The 22,398-nt window shown below is 46.4% G+C and overlaps 10 pseudogenes, besides 1 other annotated feature; 9 read left to right on the top strand and 1 right to left on the bottom strand.

Moving 5' to 3' along the window:
* GUSBP6 (GUSB pseudogene 6) lies at window positions 1,676–21,916 on the bottom strand (annotated as a pseudogene).
* On the top strand, window positions 9,649–10,466 carry MTND1P2 (MT-ND1 pseudogene 2; annotated as a pseudogene).
* On the top strand, window positions 10,671–11,674 carry MTND2P4 (MT-ND2 pseudogene 4; annotated as a pseudogene).
* On the top strand, window positions 12,074–13,596 carry MTCO1P8 (MT-CO1 pseudogene 8; annotated as a pseudogene).
* On the top strand, window positions 13,735–14,392 carry MTCO2P8 (MT-CO2 pseudogene 8; annotated as a pseudogene).
* MTATP6P18 (MT-ATP6 pseudogene 18) lies at window positions 14,649–15,399 on the top strand (annotated as a pseudogene).
* On the top strand, window positions 15,402–16,156 carry MTCO3P8 (MT-CO3 pseudogene 8; annotated as a pseudogene).
* MTND3P2 (MT-ND3 pseudogene 2) lies at window positions 16,226–16,567 on the top strand (annotated as a pseudogene).
* On the top strand, window positions 16,645–16,929 carry MTND4LP2 (MT-ND4L pseudogene 2; annotated as a pseudogene).
* On the top strand, window positions 16,926–18,128 carry MTND4P2 (MT-ND4 pseudogene 2; annotated as a pseudogene).
* Window positions 21,861–22,361: an enhancer, noted in NCBI's record as "H3K27ac hESC enhancer chr7:63560238-63560738 (GRCh37/hg19 assembly coordinates)". NCBI's record gives its function as "activates a minimal SCP1, AML or CMV promoter by ChIP-STARR-seq in naive H9 embryonic stem cells {active_cell/tissue: H9 hESC(naive)}" and the evidence as "EXISTENCE:reporter gene assay evidence [ECO:0000049][PMID:30033119]".

Here is a 22,398-nt window from a genome sequence, read left to right as displayed (position 1 = left end):
AATTATAGGCATGAGTCACCATGTCTGGACCATTTCTTAACATATGAGAGGATTGTGGCAACCTGTGTTGAGTTAGGGTAGTGGCGGCGTTTTTCTAACAGCATGTGCTCACTTGGTGTCTTTGTGTCACATTTCGGTAATTCTTACAGTATTTCGAACTTTATTATTTTTTTGAGACAGAGTCTTACTCCATTGCCCAGGCTCAAGTGCAGTGCTTTGACCATAGCTCACTGCAGCCTTGACCTCCCGGCTCAAATAATCCTCCTCCCTCAGACTTAGCTGGGACAACTAGCTTGTCCCACCATTCCTGGCTAATTTTTTTTTTTGTAGAAATGGGGTCTCACTACGTTGTTTAGGCTGATCTCAAACTCCTGGGTTTCCAGCAATCTTACCGCCACCACCTCCCGAAGTGCTGGTATTATAGGCGTGAGCCACTGCGCCAGGCATTATTATTATTAATTTTTTTTTTGTTTTTAAGACAGAGTTTTGCTCTTGTTGCCCAGGCCAAAATGCAATGGCGCGTTCTCAGCTCACTGCAACCTCCACCTCCCAGATTCAAGTGATTCTCCTGCCTCAGCCTCTTGAGTAGCTGGGATTACAGGCATGCACCACCACGCCCAGCTAATTTTGTATTTTCAGTAGAGACAGGGTTTCTCCATGTTGGCCAGGCTGGTCTCGAACTCCCAAACTCAGGTGATCTGCCTGCCTCGGCCTCCCAAAGTGCTGGGATTACAGGCGTGAGCCACCACGCCCAGCCAAAAGTTAGCATTTCTACCAAGTTCCTGGGTGGTAATTATAATGGGCAAGAATGACAGTCTGAGAACAACTATGCTGGAAGATTTTATCTTGGCAGCCCCTCATCCATCTGCACGTGAGAGTACAGATCTTATTCTCTTTGAAGACCAATTTTTTTTTAAAGACAGGTCTCACTCTGTCACCCAGGCTCACGTGCAGTGGTGCAATCATACCTCACTGCAGCCTCCAACTCCTGTGCTCAGGCGATCTGCCCACCTCAGCCTCACAAGTAGCTGGGACTACAGGCACACACCACCAGGCCTAGCTAATTCGTTTATTTTTTTTGCAGATGATGAGGTCTTGCTACGCTGAACAGACTGGTCTCAAACTCCTGGCCTCAAGCGATCCTCCCGTTTTGGCCTCCCAAAGTGCTAGGATTACAGGCATTAGCACCATGCCCAGCCTGAAGACTTTTAAATGCTACCCCATTCAAGACGTGTTGAAACTCACCTATATTCAATCAGCCTGCTTTTTGCAAGTAATATAAAACAGACTGAAATACCTTAAGTCTCTTAGGCTTTGTACCCTATTGTGGAATAATGAGTGTGTCCCAAAAGTAAATCCATAATGAGGTCCCATTTTTCCTTCCTCCTTGGCTATGAAATAGACAAGAAAAAGGCAAGCTAGTCATTTCCGTCTCACTATAGCACACTCTCCTGTTTGCTTTTTGACCGTATTTGGGAGGCGGGGGCCTGATTGCTCTCCTACTTTCTAAGCACAACTTACTTTTTCTAGAAAATTCTCAATGCAACCTACATGGAGTAAGCCAGCTTCCCTCCTTTGTTTCCAATATTCTTATAATCAAAATGGCCAGAATTGGCAAGGCAACCTGAAAAAATGAGGACAGGTACGTTATCCCATGAGCCAAACTGCCACTTACACTGCATAGTCGTGAAATCGGCAGAATTCCCGATAAGCTCTCCAACCACGTATTTTCTGCGTTTTTGATCCAGACCCAGATGGTACTGCTCTGGCAGACTCTTCTGGTACTCTTCAGTGAACATCAGAGGTGGACCCTGGTATTCAAGGCAAAGAGATTCTAAGAGTCAGAAATGGCAGAATTGTAAATGTTAGATAAAAATAAAGATCCACTTGATGGTGACCAAAATATCTGTCCTCGCAGGGGGCTATAGTGACTGCAGGACTCACTGATGCTGGGGTAAAGACAGCCAGGGAATGATGTAACCCAGAATAAAAAAGGAGGTTTAAAAAAAAAAACAACCTTAATGAGCAACTGCTTTATTTATAAATGTAATTTGATATTCGCTTTACATTACTTTTCCACCTCTATCTGCTGGTACAGTCTAAAGGCTGAACTACACTACAGGTAAAAATACGTCTTTGGGCCAGGTGCAGTGGCTCATGCCTGTTATCCCAGCACTTTGGGAGGCCAAGGTGGGAGGATTGCTTGAGCCCAGGTGTTCAAGACCAGCCTGGGTAACACAGCAAGACCCCATCTGTACAAAAAACACAAAAATCAGCCAAGCATGGTGGCACATACCTGTGGTCCCAGCTACTTGGGAGGCAGAGGTGGGAGGACTGCTTGAGCCCCAGAGGTCAAAGCTGCAGTGAGCTGTGTTTACACCACTGCACTCCAGCCTGAGTGACAGAGCGAGACCCTGTCATACATACATACATGTAAAATGAAATTAAACTAAACCAGGCTGGGCATGGTAGCTCAGGTCTGGTATCCCAGCACTTTGGGACGTCGAGGCAGGAGGATCACTTGAGACCAGGAGTTCAAGAGCAGCCTAGGCAACACAGTGAGACCCAGTCCTACAAAAAGGCAAAATATTAGCCAGGCATGGGGGTGCACAGTTGTGGTTCCAGCTACTTAGGGGGCTGAGGAGAAAGGAGTGGTTGAGCCCAGGAAGTCGAGCAGTGAGCTGTGGTTATGCCACTGCACTCCAGCCTGGACAACAGAGTGAGTCTGTCTCAAAAAAAATCTTTTTTAATTAAACTAAATCAATTCGGTTATCCTAGTCATATATCAAGACCTCAATAGCCACGTGTAGCTAATAGCTACCATTTCAGACAGTGCAAATACAGAACATTTCCATCACTGCAAGGGTGTTTTTTTTAAAAAAAACAAGGTCTCACTCTGTCACCCAGGTGGGAGTACAGCAATGCAATCATGGCTGACTGGAGTCTTGACCTACTGGGCTCAAACAATCCTCCCACCTCAGCCTCCCAAGTAGCTGGGACTACAGGCAAGCACAACCATGCCCAACTCATTTTAAATTTTTTGTAGAGATGGGGTGTATGTTGTACAGACTGGTCTCAAAACTCCTGGGCTCAAGAGATCCTCTGACCTTGGCATCCCAAAGTACTAGCATTCCAGGTGTAAGCCATCACGCCCAGCACTGCAGAGGTTCTATCAGCACTGACCTAGACCCTCTCAAGAGTTTCTTAAGAATTCAGAGCTCAGGCAGGGCATGGTGGCTCATGTCTGTAATCCCAGCACTTTGGGAGGCCAAGGCAGGCGGATCACTTGAGGTCAGGAGTTCAAGACCAACCTGACCAACATGGTGGGGAAATCTCATGTCTACCAAAAATACAAAATTAGATGGGCATGGTGGCGCATGCCTGTAATCCCAGCTACTTGGGAGGCTGAGGCAGGAGAACAGCTTGAACCTGGGAGGCAGAGGTAGCAGTGAGCCAAGATCGTGCCAAACTCCGTCTCAAAGAAAAAAGAATTCAGAGCTGGTTACCTTTTCAAAGAGGATGAGCAAGCATGCATATCGATGAGCCACTTCCCCCTACTTGACTAGTTTGCAGAAGTGGCATTCTGTAATCATGATAAATTTAAGGGTGCAAACAGAACAGCACAGTCCACTGTGGGTGGCTGTTACCTGTATGTCAATGGGAGTCCCAGGAGCTGTGACAAACGAGTGTGAGCTGGCTGGGGAGGGGACGAGGGGCTGGATGAGGTTCAGGAATTCACATGTAAAAAAACCCCAAGACAAAGCAACATATCTTTGGTGAGGAAAAAAAAATGAGATGGATAAAAAAAAAATGAGAACAGGCCGGGCACGGTGGCTTACACCTGTAATTCTAGGATTTTGGGAACCCCGTCTCTACAAAAATACAAAAATTAGCTAGGCATGGTGGCGGGTGCCTGTAATCCCAGCTACTTTGGAGGCTGAGGCAGGACAATTGCTTGAGCCCAGGAGGCAGAGGTTGCAGAGAGCTGAGATCACGCCATTGCACTCCAGCCTGGGTGACAGAGCAAGACTCCATCTCAAAAATAAAAATAAATAAATACATAAATAAAGAGGACAAAATGAGTGATTAAACATGGCTCTGTGATCTCACCCATGCCCTCAAGCCCTCAACAGGTATCATATAGCACGTGCTGTGTCAGATATTGCAGAGTACCTAGGAAGCAACAATAAATAGAACTCCTTCTCTCTCCTGAGCCCACAGTCCAAAGAGAGAGCCAAAGAAATAATGACAGTGCCTGGTGAGAACGCAGGGAGAGCCAGGTTCAGGCTACAACAGGGGCAGAGCACGGAGAAGGCTCCCTTGGCCTGAGGCAGGTGAGGTAAACCTCCTCATAGAGGGGACAGCTATGAGCGTCCTCATAACTGTCCCCTCTATGAGGAGGTTTACCTCACCTGCCCCAGGCCAAGGGAGTCTTCTCCGTGCTCAGACGCTGAATAGGAATCTTGTCAGCCATGCGTTGTGTGACTCATGCCTGTATTCCCAGTACTTTGGGAGTCCGAGGCGGGAGAATCACTTGAGGCCAGGAGTTCAAGGCCAGCCTGAAAGCGAGACTCCATCTCTATAAAAAATTTTAAAAATAGGCTGCACATGGTGGTGCATGCCTCTAGTCCCAGTTACTCAAGAGGCTGAGGCAGGAGAATTGCTTAAACCCAGGAGGTAGAGGTTGCAGTGAGCCGAGATCACACCACTGCTCTCCAGCCTGGGCAACAAAGCAAGACCAACTCTGAAAAACAAACAATGAAAGAAATGTTGCCAATGGAAATGACGAGTGGTGGCAGGAATTGGTATCTACAAGACAATAAACATAACTTGGATTGGAGAGTCAGGGAGAGACTCTTAGAAGAAATGGCCCTTATGCCGAGTCAAGTTAACCAGGAGGGATAAAGGGAAGAAAAACCCAACAGAGGGATCAGTCCCTGCTCAGAGCTTCTGGCACCCACCTGAGGCCTGCACAGTACAGATTTTTTTTTTTTTTTTTGAAAGAAAGAGTCTCACTCTGTAGCCCAGGCTGGAGTGCAATGGCACGATCTCGGCTCACTGCAACCTCCACCTCCCGGGTTCAAGTGATTCTCCTGCCTCAGCCTCCCGAGTAGCTGGGATTACAGGCAATTGCCACCACTCCTGGTTTATTTTTGTATTTTTAGCAGAGACGGGGTTTCACTATCTGTTGGCCAGGCTGGTCTTGAACTCCTGACCTCAGGTGATCCACTCGCCTTGGCCTCCCAAAGTGCTGGGATTACAGGCGTCAGCCACCATGCCCAGCCTAGATTGTTGTTGAAGCCTGTTTTCCTCTTCTCTTTCCTCAGTTTATTTCTTCTTTTACACCCTCCCCCATCACTGCTCTGCCCATCCAAAGGCTGTGGCTGGCACATGATGGAACAGAATCTCCCAGCCTCAAGTTCCAAACCTGCACTATCCAACAGCCAGGCTCTCAGATGGGAAGCTTCAAAGCCTTGTGACAGCCTGGCTGAACCACTCCAGCCTGGGCAACTCCCTTCAATTCCTACCCTGAAAAACAGGCATCTCCTCTGGCCACCGCTCAAAGAAGCCTGTCTGGAAGCCTCAGGCATCCGCTCCTGGAAGCCTGAACTCTTCACTTTTGCAAAAAACGTTGTCCACCCAGTACTGCTGAGCACACCCCATGCCCCCGAGCTCTGAATTGTCCTTTGCCCAGGCTGGGACAACTTCTCAGAGCCTTCTGCCTGCTGTAGACTTGGCTCAGCCCAAAGCACTCCATGAAATTGGGGTGTGGTGTCTGTCTCAAGAAACATTTCTACAACCTCTGCTGCCTCTACCACAAGTGAAAAATCCACCTCTGAACGCTGTTAGAACTGCACGATTATAAGGAAGAAAAGGGGGCCGTGCGCAGTGGCTCACACCCGTAATCCCAGCACTTTCAGAGGCTGAGGCAGGTGGATCACTTGAGGTCAGGAGTTCGAGGCCAGCTTGGTCAACATGGTGAAACCCTGTCTCTACTAAAAATACAAAAATTAGCTGGGCACGGTGGCTCACGCCTGTAATCCCAGCACTCTGGGAGGCTGAGGCAGGCGGATCACCTGAGGTCAGCAGTCCAAGACCAGCCTTGCCAACATGGTGAAACCCTGTCTCTACTAAAAAACACAAAAGTTGGCCAGGCACAGTGGCTCACGCCTGTAATCCCACCACTTGGGAGGCCAAGGCGGGCGGATCATGAGGCCAAGAGATTGAGACCATCCTGGCCAACATAGTGAAACCCTGTCTCTACTGAAAATACAAAAATTAGCCCGGTGTGAGACTCCATCACAAAAAAAAAAAAAATTTTAGCCAGGTGTGGTGGCGCAAGCCTGTAGTCCCAGCTATTCAGGAGGCTGAGGCAGAAGAATCACTTGAACCTGGGAGGTGAAGGTTGCAGTGAGCTGAGATTGTGCCACTGCACTCCAGCCTGGCAACAGAGTGAGACTCCATCTCAAAACAAACAAACAAACAAAAATGCAAGTTAGTTGGGTGTGGTGGCACACACCTGTAATCCTAGCTATTCGGGAAGCTGAGGCTGGAGAATCACTTGAACTCAGGAGGCAGAGGTTGCAGTGAGTCGAGATCGTGCCCCTGTACTCCAGCCTGGCAACAGAGTGAGACTCCATCTCAAAAAAATAAAAAATAAGTATAAAGTAGCTGGGTGTGATGACACACATCTATAATCCCAGCTGCTTGGGAGGCTGAGGCAGGAAGATCACCTAAGCCTGGGAAGTCGAGGCTGCAGTGATCCGAGATCACACCACTGCACTGTAGCCTGGGAGACCAAAGTGAGACCCCGTTTCGAAAAAAACAAAAAAAATCAAAAAAACAGGCCAGGTGCAGTGGCTCACGCATGCCTGTAATCCCAGGTACTCAGGAGCCTGAGGCAAAATAATCACTTAAACCCGGGAAGCGGAGGTTGTAGAGAGCCAAGATCATGTCACTGATCTCCAGCCTAGGAGACACAGCGAGACCACGTCTCAAAAAAAAAACAAAACAAAACAAAGAAAAAGAAAACCACAACTTGGGTGGGTAGATATTTGGTCCCCTGAAGTGTCTGGGTATGGACGGCACTCCCATCAGGCTGGGACAGGAGGCTGGTCTCAAACAGCACAAACCCACCCCAGCCTGCCACCTGCCAGGGTCTCCTTCCCGATCCAGCCCAGGGCAGCCAGGGGGCACTCACCTGAAGTAGTAGCCGGCAGGTTCCAGGTAGGATGCAGGCTTGTTGGCCACAGACCACATCACCACGGCGGGGTGGTTCTTGTCCCTGCACACCAGTTCCTCCATCACCCACATGTGTTGATGCACAGACACATTGTTGAAAAGCTGCCTGTGGGCCAGGAGGGAAGGGACAGAGGGTCATGGTGCGGTCTGCGGGCTGGGCAGGTGGAGCGGGTGCGTGGTGGGGACTCACACCAGCACCAGGCCCACAGCGGGACACTCATCAATGACCACAATCCCATAGCGGTCACACATCTGCAGCACTTCCCCCGCGTAGGGGTAGTGGCTGGTGCAGAAGGCGTTGGCACCAAGCCAGTGAAGCAGGTTGAAGTCCTTCACCAGCAGCAGCCAGTTGAAGCCCTTCCCTAGGATCTAGGAGACAGCAGAGTGGAGTGACCCCTGCCCCTGTCGAAGCTGCACTTCCTCTGAGAGCCAGGACCCTGGAGAGCCACCCCATGAGCCCCCTCTCCAGCCCAAGCACCGGCTCCACCATGGGGCAGTTTGGAGCCATTTGCCTTATTGCCCTGAGCTGCCCTCAACTGTGGGACATACGGAAGGCAAAAGTGGAAGGTGACCAGAAGCAGCCCCAACGAGGACCCAGGAGCACAAACGCAGGTCCGCATCCTCGTGCTTGTTGATGCTGTGGAAATAAAAAGGTTTCCCGTTGATGAAGAACTGGCTCTCAGTGACAGCCACAGTGCGGATCCCCACAGGGAGTGTGTAGAAGTCAGACAAAGGCCCCAGTGACGTCTGTGCAGTCAGCCGCACCTAAGATAGCCAAAGCGCCAGGTGTGAGCACCCCGACAGCCTGAGCCCCATCCGGCCCTCCCTCTGGCAGGAAGGCCCCTCGTGCACCCCAGCAGCCGCCTTGGGCCTGCAAGCAGAGATGCAGCAATCAGAGGCTCTGCCCTTCCCTGGCTGACCCCGGGACCTGCCCTTCAAAACTGGGCCTTCCCCTTGACCAGATGAGGTGGCTCATGCCTGGAGTTCCCACGCTTTGGGAGGCTAAGGCAGGAGGATCACTTGAGTCCAGGAGTTCAAGACCAGCCTGGCAACAGAGTGAGACCCCATCTCTATAAAAAAAAAATTTTTTTTTTTTTTTGGAGACAGTCTCACTCTGTCGCCCAGGCTGGAGTGCAGTGGCGTGATCTCAACTCATTGCAGCCTCTGCCTCCCAAGTTCAAGCAATTCTTGCCTCAGCCTCCCAAGTAGCTGGGATTACAGGCATGCACCACCATGCCCAGCAAATTATCATATTTTTAGTAGAGACAGGGTTTCACCATGTTGGATGGGCTGGTCTCGAACTCCTGGCCTCATGTGATCCACCCACCTCAGCCTCCCAAAGTCCTGGGATTACAGGTGTAAGCCACCACGCCTGGCTTACCAAAACAGTTTTTTTAATTAGCCAGGCATGGTGGCATGTGCCTGTAGTCCCAGCTACTAAGGAGGCCAAGGTAGGAGGATTGCTGCAGCCTGGGAGCTCAAAGCTGCAGTGAGCTGTGAACAGGCCATTGCACTTCAGCCTGGGTGACACAGTGAGACCATCTCAAAAAAAAACACAAAAACTGGGCCTCCCACCAAGGGTGGGAAATATCAGAAAGCTCAGAGGACCACGCCTGGCCGTTCATCTGTCCTGGGCTCCTGCTGAAGCCCAGATGGGGGCAAAAGACCTCCCTTAACCAAGTTCCAAACCACCATTATCTCCAATGAGTACAGACCGGGGGGTGTTCGTGCATCAGGTAAGGCCACCAGAGGCTCCTGCCTGTACCCGGTACCTTCAGCTGGCCCTGAGTAAAGGCCCCAGTGGCCATGGCTTTGTTTTCTGCCTCCAAAAGATGCACTTCCAACTGGATCTGGTTGCTGCACTTGAGGAGATCTGGTAATTCACCAGCCCTGCAGGAGGCAAGAGAGACCAGGGCTGAGGGAGGGACATGACCTGGGCCACACAAACGGGAGTGCCCCGCAGCCACCACTCCCAGGCAGCCATTTGTTTCTATTGTTTTTTTAAAATTTTATATACATATATATATATATATATATACACACATATATGAACACACACACACACACATACATATTTTTTGAGACAAAGTGTCACTCTGTCCCCCAGGCTGGAGTGCAGTGGCGTGATCTTGGCCCACTGCAACCTCCACCTCTGGGGTTCAGGTGATTCTCCTGCCTCAGCCTTCCGACTACCTGGGATCATAGGCGTGTACCACCTCGTCTGGTGAATTTTTGTATTTTTAGTAGAGTCGGGGTTTTGCCATGTTGGCCAGGCTGGTCTCCAACAGGTTTCTCTCTATTTTGTTTTTCTCCCTGTACGAAAGGACAAGAAAAATAGGGCCTACTTCATAAAGTGCCCTCGCACTATAGATGATGTTAATCTCAATCTAACACCCTACGGACTATTTATTTCAACCATCTGCTGATGCAATACAACTTTTCACCAAAGAACCCTTACAACCCTCAACATCTACTATTGCCCTCTATATTACTGCTCCAACCCTAGCCCTTTCTATCGCCCTTCTTTTGTGAACTCCCCTCCCTATTCCAGACCCTTTAATTAATTTTAATATAGGCCTCCTATTTATTCTAGCCACATCAAGCCTAGCCATCTACTCTATTTGATGATCAGGATGGGCATCCAATTCAAACTATGCACTAATCGGTGCATTACAAGCTGTCGCCCGAACAATTTCATATGAAGTCACCCTAACCATCATCCTGTTATCAGTCCTACTGAGAAGCGGCTCATTCAATTTATATACACTCATCACAACACAAGAGTCCCTCTGACTGCTCCTACCATCATGACCCCTAGCCATAATATGATTTATCTCCACATTAGCAGAAACTAACTGAGCCCCTTCTGACCTAACAGAAGGAGAATCAGAGTTAGTCTCAGGTTTCAACATCGAATATACTGCAGGTCCATTTGCCCTCTTCTTTATAACAGAATATATGAATATTATCGTAATAAATGCCCTAACTACTACATTTTTTCTAGGAACATTACACACTATATATTCACCAAACTCTATACTACATATTTCATTACCAAGACCTTCCTCTTAACCTATTTTTATGAATTCAAACAGCATATCCCTGTTTCCGCAACGATCAACTCATACACCTCTTACAAAAAAAACTTTCTACCACTTACACTAGTATTCTGTATATGACATATCTCAATACCCATCCTAATCTCCAGCATCCCACCCCAAACATAATATGTGTGACAAAAGAATTACTTTGATAGAGTAAACAATAGAGGTTGAAATCCTCTTATTTCTAGAACTATAGGAATTGAACTCACCCCGAGAATCCAAAATTCCCCATGCTACCTATCACACCATGTCCTAAAGTAAGGTCAGCTAAATAAGCTATCTGGCCCATACCCCAAAAATGTTGGTTATACCCTTCCCATCCTAATTAACCCATTAGCTCAACTTATTATTTACCTTACTGTTTTTACAGGTACTTATCACAACGCTAGGCTCACACTGATTTTTCATCTGAACAGGCCTAGAAATAAATATACTAGCCCTCATCCCAATCTCAATTTAAAAAAAAAACCCGCTCTACAGAAGCAGTCACTAAATATTTCCTTATACGGGCAACCGCATCTATATTCCTCATAATAAGTATTCTCTTCAATAACCTGTTCTCCAGTGAACAATAAATACTATTAATCAACTTTCATCCTTAAAAATAATAACAGCTTAGTAATAAAACTAGGGATAGCCCCTTTTCACTTCTGAGTTCCAGAAGTAACCCAAGGAACTTCCCTAACATTCGGTATACCACTCCTCACATGACAAAAACTGGCCCTATTTCAATTATATATCAAATTTTTCCATCAGTAAACACGAACATCCTCCTATCTCTCTTGATCTTATCTATTATAGTGGGCAGTTGAGGAGGACTTAACCAAACACAACTATGTAAAATTCTAGCCTACTCCTCAATTATTCATATAGGTTGAATAACAGCAGTACTAATATATAACCCAAACATTACCATTTTTAACCTAACAACCACTGCATTCCTAGCACTCAGCCTGAATTCAAGCACTACAACCCTATCACTATCCCATGCCTGAAACAAATTAACATGGTCAGTATCTATAATTCTATCAATTTTATTATCCCTAGGAGGTTTACCTCCATGAACAGGATTCCTGCCTAAATGAATCACCATTCAAGAGTTTACAAAAAATAAGTCTTATTATCCCAACCATTATAGCTATCATAACTCTACTCAATCTGTATATTTACATATGCTTAGTTTACTCCATTTCAGTGACAATATTCCCCACATCCAATAATATAAAAATAAAATGACAGTTCAAAAATATTTCATATTACTTCTCCCCACACTTATCATCTTCTCTACCATCCTCCTACCAATCTCTCCACTAACACTATCCATAATCTAGAAATTTAGGTTAAGTAAGACCAAGAGCCTTCAAAGCTCTTAGCAAGTAAATTATACTTAATTTCTAAAAAATCCCTAAGGACTGAAAAACTCTATTCTGTATCAATTGAATGCAAATCAATCACTTTAATTAAGCTAAGCCCTTGCTAGATTGGTGGGACTTAAACCACGAAAATTTAGTTAACAGCTAAACACCCTAATCAACTGGCTTCAATCTACTTCTCCCGCAGTTGGGGGAAAAATGGCATACAAGCCCCAGCAGGATTCAAGCTGCTCCTTTGAGTTTGCAATTCAACATGAAAATCACCTCGGGACAGGAAAAAAGAGGCCTTGACCTCTGTCTTTAGATTTACAGTCTAATGCTTACTCAGCCATTTTACCTTTTCTCACTTCACTTATGTTCACCAACTGTTGATCGTTCTCAACCAACCATAAAGATATCAGGACATTATACTTGCTATTCGGTGCCTGAGCAGGGATAGCAGGTACAGCCTTAAGCCTCCTTATTTGAGCGGAACTGGGCCAACCAGGTACTCTACTAGGTGATGATCAAATTTACAATGTCATCATTACCGCTCATGCATTTCTTATAATTTTCTTTATAGTAATACCAATAATAACTGGAGGTTAATCCCTCTGATAATTGGCGCCCCTGACATAGCATTTCCCCGGATAAATAATATGAGTTTCTGACTCCTCCCACCCTCTTTCCTGCTATTACTTGCATCCACTATAGTAGAGGCCAGCACTGGAACCGGCTAACAGTCTACCCCGCCTTAGCAGGAAACCTAACACATGCGGGAGCCCCTGTAGATTTAACCATCTTCTCACTCCATTTGGCAGGTGTCTCTTCTATTTTAGGGGCCATTAACTTTATTACCACAATTATTAATATAAAACCTCCAGCCACGTCCCAATATCACACACCCCTTTTGGTCTGATCAGTCCTAACTACAGCAGTTCTACTCCTTTCTCTCCCAGTCCTAGCCGCCAGCATTATTATACTATTAACAGACGGCAATCTTAATACTACTTTTTTCGACCCAGCTGGTGGAGGTGATCCTATCTTATATCAGCACTTATTCTGATTCTTTGATCACCCTGAAGTCTATATCCTCATCCTACTGGGCTTCAGGATAATTTCCCATATCGTAACATACTACTCTGGGAAAAAAGAGCCATTTGGGTATATGGGCATAGTGTAGGCCATAATATCAATTGGCTTCTTAGGGTTTATCGTATGGGCTCACCACATATTTACAGTAGGAACAGATGTAGATACATGAGCATACTTCACCTCTGCTACTATAATTATTGCTATTCCTACTCATGTCAAAGTCTTTAGCTGATTAGCTACATTACATGGCGGTAACATCAAATGATCTCCCGCAATACTCTGAGCCCTGGGATTTATTTTCCTTTTTACAGTAGGAGGTTTAACCGGCATTGTACTAGCCAATTCATAACTAGATATTGTTTTACATGATACATATTATGTTGTAGCCCATTTCCATTATGTCTTATCAATAGAAGCCATATTTGCTGTTATAGAAGGCTTTGTCCACTGATTCCCCCTATTTTCAGGTTATACACTCAATCAAATCTATGCTAAAACTCACTTTGCCATCATATTTATAGGTGTCAATTTAACTTTTTTCCCCGCAGCATTTCCGCAGCCTATCCAGTATGCCTCGCCATTACTCCAATTATCCCGGTGCATACACCGCATGAGATACTATTTCATTCGTAGGCTCATTTATTTCCCTAACAGCAGTAACGCTAATAATTTTCATGATCTGAGAAGGCTTCGCTTCAAAACGAAAAGTTCTAACAATTGTGCAACCATCTACCAACTTAGAATGACTATATGGCTGTCCACCACCCTATCACACATTCGAAGAACCAACCTACATGAAGACCTAAGCGAAAAAGGAAGGAATCGAACCTCCAGAGACTGTTTCAAGTCAATCCCATAACCTCTATGACTTTCTCAATAAGATATTAATAAAATTATTTCATAACTTTGTCAAAGTTATAGGTTAAGCCCTATATATCTTAATGGCCCATCCAGTTCAATTAGGTCTTCAAGATGCTTCATCCCCTACTATAGAAGAACTACTTACCTTCCATGACCACACTCTTATAATTATTTTCCTAATTAGTTTCCTGGTTCTATACATTATTTCTCTAATACAACAAAGCTGATTCATACTAGCACTATAGATGCCCAAGAAATAAAGACTGTCTGAACTATCTTGCCTGCCATCAGCTTAATCTTAATTGCCCTCCCATCCCTATGTATTCTGTACATAACAGATGAAATCAATAATCCCCCTCTCACCATTAAAACAATTGGACATCAATGGTATTGAAGCTACGAGTATATAGATTATGAAGAATTAAGTTTCGATTCTTATATACTTCCAACAGCCAACTTAAAACCAGAAGAACTTCAACTCCTCGAATTCGATAACCAAACATCCTCTCAATAGAAATTCTCATCCGCATGTTAATCTCATCCAAAGATATCCTGCACTCATGAACTATTCCCTCATTAGGGTTAAAAACAGATGCAATCCCTGGACGCTTAAACCAATTTGCCTTAACCACTACATGACCAGGCCTCTACTATGGACAATGCTCAGAAATGTGTGGATCTAACCACAGCTTTATATCTATTGTTTTAAAATTAGTCCCATTAAAAACTTTCAAAACTTGGTCTATATCCACACTATAATCTCACTGTAAAGCTACCCCAGCGTTAACCTTTTAAAGACTTCTTCTGACAGAAATCACACCTCTCTACAGTGAATTCCTCAACGAGATACTTCCACATGACCTATTATTATTATATCAACAATCATAACTTTATTCTCGATTATTCAATTAAAACTATCAAATTTCATTTACCATACACCCGCTACACCAAAAATAATTGAAACACAAAAACATAACAACCCTTGAGAACTAAAGTGAACGAAAATCTGTTCACCTCATTTACTGCCCCGACAATCCTAGGTTTACCCGCAGCAGCACTAATCATCTTGTTTCCCGCCACACTCCTTCCAACCTCCAACTATTTAATTAATATACTCTCTAATTAATATTAATTAATTATCTAATTAGTATCATCTAATAACTATCTAATTAATATTAATATAATTAATACAAGATTGATTTCTATTCAACAATGACTAGTTCAACTTGTTCTAAAACAAATAATAATCACACATAATATTAAAGGACGAACCTGATCCCTTATACTAATATCCCTAATTCTCTTTATTGCCTTAACCAATCTCCTTGGGCTTCTACCCCACTCATTTACACCAACTACTCAACTATCAATAAATCTCGGTATAGCAATCCGCTTATGAGCAGGAACAGTAATCACAGGTTCCACTTTAAAACTAAAAACTCCTTAGCTCTCTTCCTGCAAGGCACGCCCATACCACTTACCCCTATACTAGTAATCAACGAAACCATTAGTCTACTTATTCAACCAATGGCACTAGTTGTACATTTAACAGCCAATATTACGGCCAGTCACTTACTCATACACTTATTGGAGGAGCCACACTAGTATTATCAACTATTAACCTTCCCACAGCTTCAATTACCCTTATTATTCTAATTCTATTGACCACTCTCGAATTCGCTGTGGCCCTTATCCAAGCTTATGTCTTTACGCTATTAGTAAGCCTTTATTTATATGACAACACATAATGACCCACCAAACACACACCTCTCATTTAGTCAAACTCAGCCCTTGGCCATTAACAGGGGCTCTCTCAGCTCTCCTAATAACATCTGGCCTAGCTATATGATCTCACTTTAACTCTATTACTCTTTTAACTTTAGGCCTACTAACCAATACACTGACTATATATCAATGGTGACGTGATATTATCCGAGAAAGTACATTTCAAGGCCACCATACAACAATTGTCCGAAAGGCCTCTGATATGGAATTTATTTATTATCTCAGAAGCATTTTTCTTTGCTGGATTCTTCTGGGCATTCTACCATTCCAGTCTAGCCCCAACTCCAGAACTAGGAGGACACTGACCCCCAACAGGCATTTCTCCCCTCAACCCTCTGGAAGTACCCCTCTTGCATCAGGGATTTCAATTACTTGAGCCTATCACAGCCTACTAGAAAATAATCAAAAACAAATAACTGAAGCACTACTTATCACAATTACCTCAGGTATTTACTTCACCCTCCTACAAGTCTCAGAATACTTTGAGGCTCCCTTTGCTATTTCTGATGAATTTATGGCTCAACATTCTTTATAGCTACAGCCTTTCACGGACTTCACGTCATTATTGGATCAACATTCCTCACTATCTGTCTCTTCTGCCAATTAAAATATCACTTTACATCTAGCCATCACTTTGGCTTCGAAGCTGCTGCCTGATATTGACACTCTGTAGATGTAGTATGACTATTCTTGTATATCTCTATTTACTGATGAGGATCTTACTCTTTTAGTATAAAGAGTACTACTGACTTCCAATCAATTAGTTTTGACATCTGAAAAAGAGTAATTAACCTAATACTAGCCCTAGTAATCAACACCCTATTAGCCTTATCACTAATAGTTATTACATTATGGCTCCCACAACTTAATATTTATATAGAAAAATCCAGCCCCTACAAATGCAGATTTGACCCATTATCCTCCGCCTGCATTCCCTCCCCCATAAAATTTTTTCTAGTAGCCATCACATTCCTCCTATTTGACTTAGAAATCGCCCTATTACCCTTGCCATGAGCTCTTCAAACAAACAACCTGACACTAACAATCAGCACAGCCCTTATACTAGTTATCATTTTAGTACTAGGGTTAACTTATGAATGAACTCAAAAAGGATTAGACTGAACTGAATTGGTAGATAGTTTAAGCCAAAATAAATGATTCTGACTCATTAGATTATAATAGAACATATTTACCAAATGCTTTCTATTTATATCAATATCATATTAGCATATACCATATCACTTCTGGGGATATTAACCTATCGATCCCACCTGATAGCATCCCTAATATGCCTAGAAGGAATAATATTATCATTATTCATCATAAATACCCTTATAACTTTAAATATACATTTCACCCTAGCATTCATAATACCCATTACCCTCCCAGTATTTGCTGCCTGCAAAGCTGCAGTGGGCCTCGCCTTACTAGTTTCAATCTCCAACACGTATGGCCTAGATTATGTACATAACCTAAATTTACTTCAATGCTAAAAATTATTATTCCAACAATTATACTGCTATCAATAACATGACTCTCTAAAAACTCAATAATCTAAATCAATATGACTATTCACAGCCTAATCATCAGCTTCATTGCCCTATTATTTTTTAATCAATTCAGCAATCTATTCAACTTCTCATTAACTTTCTCTTCTGATCGCTGACATCACCCCTTCTAATCTTAACAGCCTGACTACTACCTCTTATAATTATAGCAAGCCAGTACCACCTCTCCAATGAGTCACCCCTATGGAAAAAGCTCTATATTTCCATATTGATTTCCCTATAATTTTTTTTAAATTATAGCATTCACAGTCACAGAACTAATTATATTTTATATACTCTTTGAAGCTACGCTTATCCCTACCTTAATTATTATCACCCCCTGAGGTAACCAACCAGAACGCCTCAATGCAAGCTCGTATTTCTTATTTTATACACTAATGGGATCTCTCCCCCTACCTATTATACTTATTTATACTCGAAATACCTTAGGTTCACTGAACATAATAATATTTAACACCCAAGAACTATTAATTTTCTGATCCAATAACCTTATATGATTAGCATGTATTATGGCTTTTATAGTAAAAATACCCCTATACGATTTCACCTATGACTTCCTAAAGCCCACATAGAAGCCCCTATTGCTGGCTCAATAGTACTTGCAGCGGTTCTCCTAAAACCAGGCGGCTACAGCATAATACGGCTTACCCTTATCCTCAGCCTCCTGACAGAATATATAGCCTACCCCTTCCACATGTTATCCTTATGAGGGATAGTTATGATAAGCTCTATTTGTCTACGACAAGCTGATCTAAAATCACTTATTGCATATTCCTCCGTAAGTCATACAGCACTTGTTACTATGGCTATCTTCATTCAAACCCCCTGAAGCTTTACTGGTGCAATTACCCTCATAATTGCCCATGGACTTACTTTGTCCTTACTATTCTGCCTAGCAAATTCAAACTATGAGCGAATCCATAGCCGAATCATATTACTCTCTCGAGAGCTTCAAACACTACTCCCACTAATAGCCTTTTGAAGACTTATAGCAAATCTTACTAACCTTGCCTTACCCCCCACCATTAATAGGAGAACTCTGTAATGGTGGCTTCATTCTCCTGATCAAACATCACCATATGCTTATAGGACTTAATATATTAATCACAGCCCTTTATTCTTGTTTAAGTTCTTATTTATTTATTTAATTAATTTATTTATTTTGAGACAGGGTCTCACTATGTTGCCCAGGTGGGTCTCGAACTTTTGAGCTCAAGCAATCTGTCCACCTCGGCCTTCCAAAGTGCTGGAATGACAGGCATTAACCACCGCACCCAGCCTAAATTCTTTTAAATTTGGAACTGCGGCCACAAAACACTGTCAATAATCTCGCCACTGCACTCCAGCCTAGGCAACCGTGCAAGGCCTCATCTCAGAAAAAGAAAAAGATATATTTTAAAAATGAAAAAAAAACTTAAAAAATCCTTACACTCTGGGAGGCCAAGGCGGGTGGATCACCTCAGGTCAGGAGTTCAAGTCCAACCAGGCCAACATGGTGAAACCCTGCCTCTACTAAAAAAATACAAAACTAACCAGGCATGGTGGCAGGTGCCCATAATCCCAGCTACTCAGGAGGCTGAGGCAGGAGAATCCTTTGAATCCGGGAGGCGGAGGTTGCAGTGAGCTGAGATCGCACCACTGCCATCCAGCCTGGGCGAGAGAACAAGACTCTGTCTCAAAAAAAAAAAAAAAAAAAAAAAAAAAGGCAGGGTCTCCCTCTGTTACCCAGACTGGAGTGTGGTGGCACAGTCATAGCTCACTGCACCCTTGACCTCCCAGGCTCAAGTGATTCTCCTGCCTCAGCAGCTGGGACTATCAGCATGCATCACCATGCCTGGCTAATTTTTTAATTTTTTGTAGTGATGGTCTTGCTATGTTGCCCAGGCTGGTCTTGAACTCCTGGCCTCAAGTGATCCTCCTACCAGGGCCTCCTTGCAAAGAGCTGAGAGGACAGGCATGAGCCACCATGCCCGGCCCCCCGAAGCTGCCTGTTCCTTGAGCACGATGTGTAGCAAGGGGAGCTGGAGTGACAGCAGCACCGTGGGGAAGGGACAGGATTGCCACCCTGAGCTGTGTGACATTAGGCCAGACCCCTCTTCTCCAAGTGAGGTCAACCACATGGGTGATTTCGGGAGCCTGTGCCCCAGTCAGCCTGGATTTTACCTTCATAGGTAGATAGGAAACTATGAGGGTTCAGAGATGCTGGGAGAACCTTTTCCCTGGGAGAGCTTTCCAAACAGGAAACAAACAGAGCCACCCTGGGCCCCACTGAGGGAGGATCCTACCAGCACTGTCATGCTCCACGCCGGTGGTGATGGTGATGTCATCGATGTAGGTGGTAGGTGTCGTGTACAGAAGCACAGACCGCTGCAGTCCCGCGTAGTTGAAGAAGTCAAAGTCTGTGTTCTGGACAAAGTAACCCTTGGGATACCTAGGGTCGGAGGACAGTGGTTCGCTGGGCCCTTGCCCTGAGTCCCTTGACCTCAGCTCACAGGTCTCCTCAGATCCAGGTCCTCCACTCTGCCAAGGCCACCCTGTCCCTAGCAGGAAGACCACAGGGTGGGATGGGAAGGTAGGTGCATGCGGTGGAGACAAGATGGTATCCACTTGGAGGTGTTGATCATGTAGCAGATGGTCCCTGGTGGCAGGGTGGAGGGGGTGAGCGTATTATTGATGGTGATAGTGATGCAGGGGCAGGAGGACAGGGGCCCCACCTGGACCAGACTGCTGCTGTCGGCCCCTCATGCTCTAGCGTGTCGACCCCATTCACCCACTGCAGACACAGGAGATATGAGGAGGGGGCAGCAGGTTGGGGCATGAGGAGGGGCCCTGCTATCAGGCACTCCCTCACATAACCCGCAGCATGGGGCTCAGGGACCTGCCAGCCAGACAGGAAGAATGGCATCCCAAGGGTGTAGATCAGGCCACCTATCCCCCTACACAGGGCACAGCCCCCAGGGCAGGGCAGGGCCCCCCACCATCCCACCCCAGGAGACAGGCTGTAGGTGGCTGCTGGGGGTCCCATGCTGTTCAGCAGCCATGCCCACCCACCTACCCTGCCTGCTCCTGGCTGCACTGACCACAGTGGCATAGGAGTGGGCACTGGCAATCCTCAGCACCACTCTTGTGCGCAGGTGCTGGGTCCATTGCTCCGGCAGGGTCACCTCCTGTTCGTACAACACCCAGCCAACAAACTGCCGCAGCCACCAGTCCTGACAGATGTCGTTGAAGCTGGAGGGAACCAGCACGCCCAGGGTGGGGCCCGATGGTGGAGAGAAGAGCCGCGCTCACCTCCTAGGTCCCCAAAAAGATCCCGGGCCAGTGTGCTGCAGAGCTGTGCCCCCAGGCCTAGTGCAAGTCCTGACACATAGCGGGGACTCTTGGCGGAACGGACAGACAACTTGCTGAGGACAGATCAATCGCCAAGGCGGTTTGTGCACCTGGACTAGCGGGGCCAAGAGTTCCCCTTCGGAGTGGATGGGGCCCAATATCTCCCAAGACAGATGACCCACTGCCTGTCACAGGGAGGAAGACTGTTTGGGGGGATGCGGGGCTTTGCTTAGGACACTGTGAGTGGGACGCACGCAGGCACCCAGCCCTCTTCTCTCTTCCTCCTGTACTGAATGCTGCAAAGTTTTTCTAAGGGGATGCAAGCGAGGAAAACGCGGCCCAGACCTCACCCGGTCCCACTTCTCTGCTGACCATATCCAAGTCAGGAGGAAAACAGGGGTGGTGTCCTTGGCCTGATATCATGTCCTGTCCTCAACCTGAACCTTGAAAACCAAGGGACCTTCCTGCCTCAGCAGAGCTGACCTCAGGAGGTCTAAACTGTCTCCCTCCTCCCAGCTCTGTGCAGCACATGCCGCTCTGGCCAGACCAGTGTCTGTGTGGCTCATGCCTGTAATCAGCGCTTTGGGAGGTCAACGTGGGAGGATGGCTTGAGGCCAAGAGTTCGAGACCAGCCTGGGCAATGCAGTGAGACCTATATCTTTAAAAAAGAAAAAAAAATTTATTTATCTATTTTATTTATTTATTTTTTTTGAGACGGAGTCTCACTCTGTCACCCAGGCTGGAGTGCAGTCCAGTGGCTCTGTGATCTCGGCTCATTGCACCCTCCGCCTCCCGGGTTCAAGCACTTCTCCTGCCTCTGACTCCCGAGTAGCTGGGATTACAGGTGTGTACCATCATGCCCAGCAAATTTTCGTATTTTTAATAGAGACGGGGTTTCACCAGTCTGGTCTTGAACTCCTGGCCTCAAGTGATCCACCTGTCTTGGCCTCCCAAAGTGCTGGGATTACAGGCGTGAGCCACCAAGCCTGGTCAAAGTTTTGTTTTGTTTTTTTTAATAGCCAGGCGTGGTGGCCCCAGCTAACTTGCAAGCCTGGGGCGGGAGAATCCCTTGAGCTCAGAAGTTAGTATTACACCACTCTGCTCCAGCTTGGGCGACAGGGCCAAACCCAGTCTCAAAACAATTTTTAAAATTTAAAATAAACATTAAAAAGAAAGACACTGCCCAGACTCACCCTTCGTCTCGTGAGAGGGTTCGGCAGCAGCGCTTCCTTCTTCTCCCGCCTCGGCCCTCCCCAGTTCCCCCGGTCTCCCCGTCCCCCAAGCCTGCGCCCCTAAGCCCATTGACCTTTAACTTCCTGTAGGGCGCCAGCTCCGGGGCGCTCAGGGGAAGGAGCCTGCAGGGACCAGGGCTCCCCCCCTCCCACCGCCGGGCTTCCGGGCGCCTCCCGCCCCTGCCCCGCAGCTCCCGCAGCGGCCGCGGGTACCACTGCTCCTCGAAGCCCTGGCGTCGACTGTCCAAGTCGGCGCGGAAGCTCCAGAGGCCGCCCAGCTCCTTGGACTCCCGCGACGGGCTCTCCCGGGGATACAGCGTCCAGCCCTGCAGCGCCAGGGCGCAGCCACCGCCGTGCCTCGGATCACACTTTCCTCTCCACCGCTCGGCAGCCGTCTGCGGGGCTAAGAGCAGCGCCGGAGGAGCCCGGCGGGTGGGTCGCGTGAGGCGCCTGAGACCGTCCGCGCCATCTTTGCTGAGGGCGAGTGCCAGGCCTGGAGGGGCGGGCGGGGCCCCGCACTGCCCAGTGGGGCCTGCGGCTGGAACCCTGGGTTAGGCCTTTGGGGAAGTGGGACGCTCACCGTCAGCCCCGGCTAAGAAGGGCGAGGTCGGCTCCCCACCCCAACACAGGCTGGATGATCCAGGGACGCAGGCCAGGACAGAACCCCTGAGATCGTGGTATCCCCGTTTCTTCAAGGAGCACCTCCTCTTGCTTTCCACAGCAGGAATTCCAGCAGGCCCCAGCGAAGCCTCTTCTATTCCTGTCGGATGCAGCCTCTTGCATGGATGCACGTCCTTTGGATGGGGCCATAGCCTTGACCCTGGGCCTC

The sequence above is a fragment of the Homo sapiens genome, chromosome 7 (assembly GCF_000001405.40).
Source record: "Homo sapiens chromosome 7, GRCh38.p14 Primary Assembly".
NCBI lineage: Eukaryota > Metazoa > Chordata > Mammalia > Primates > Hominidae > Homo > Homo sapiens.
The sequence above is the reverse complement of the archived record's forward strand: the minus strand, read 5'-3'. Positions and strand labels throughout refer to the sequence as shown.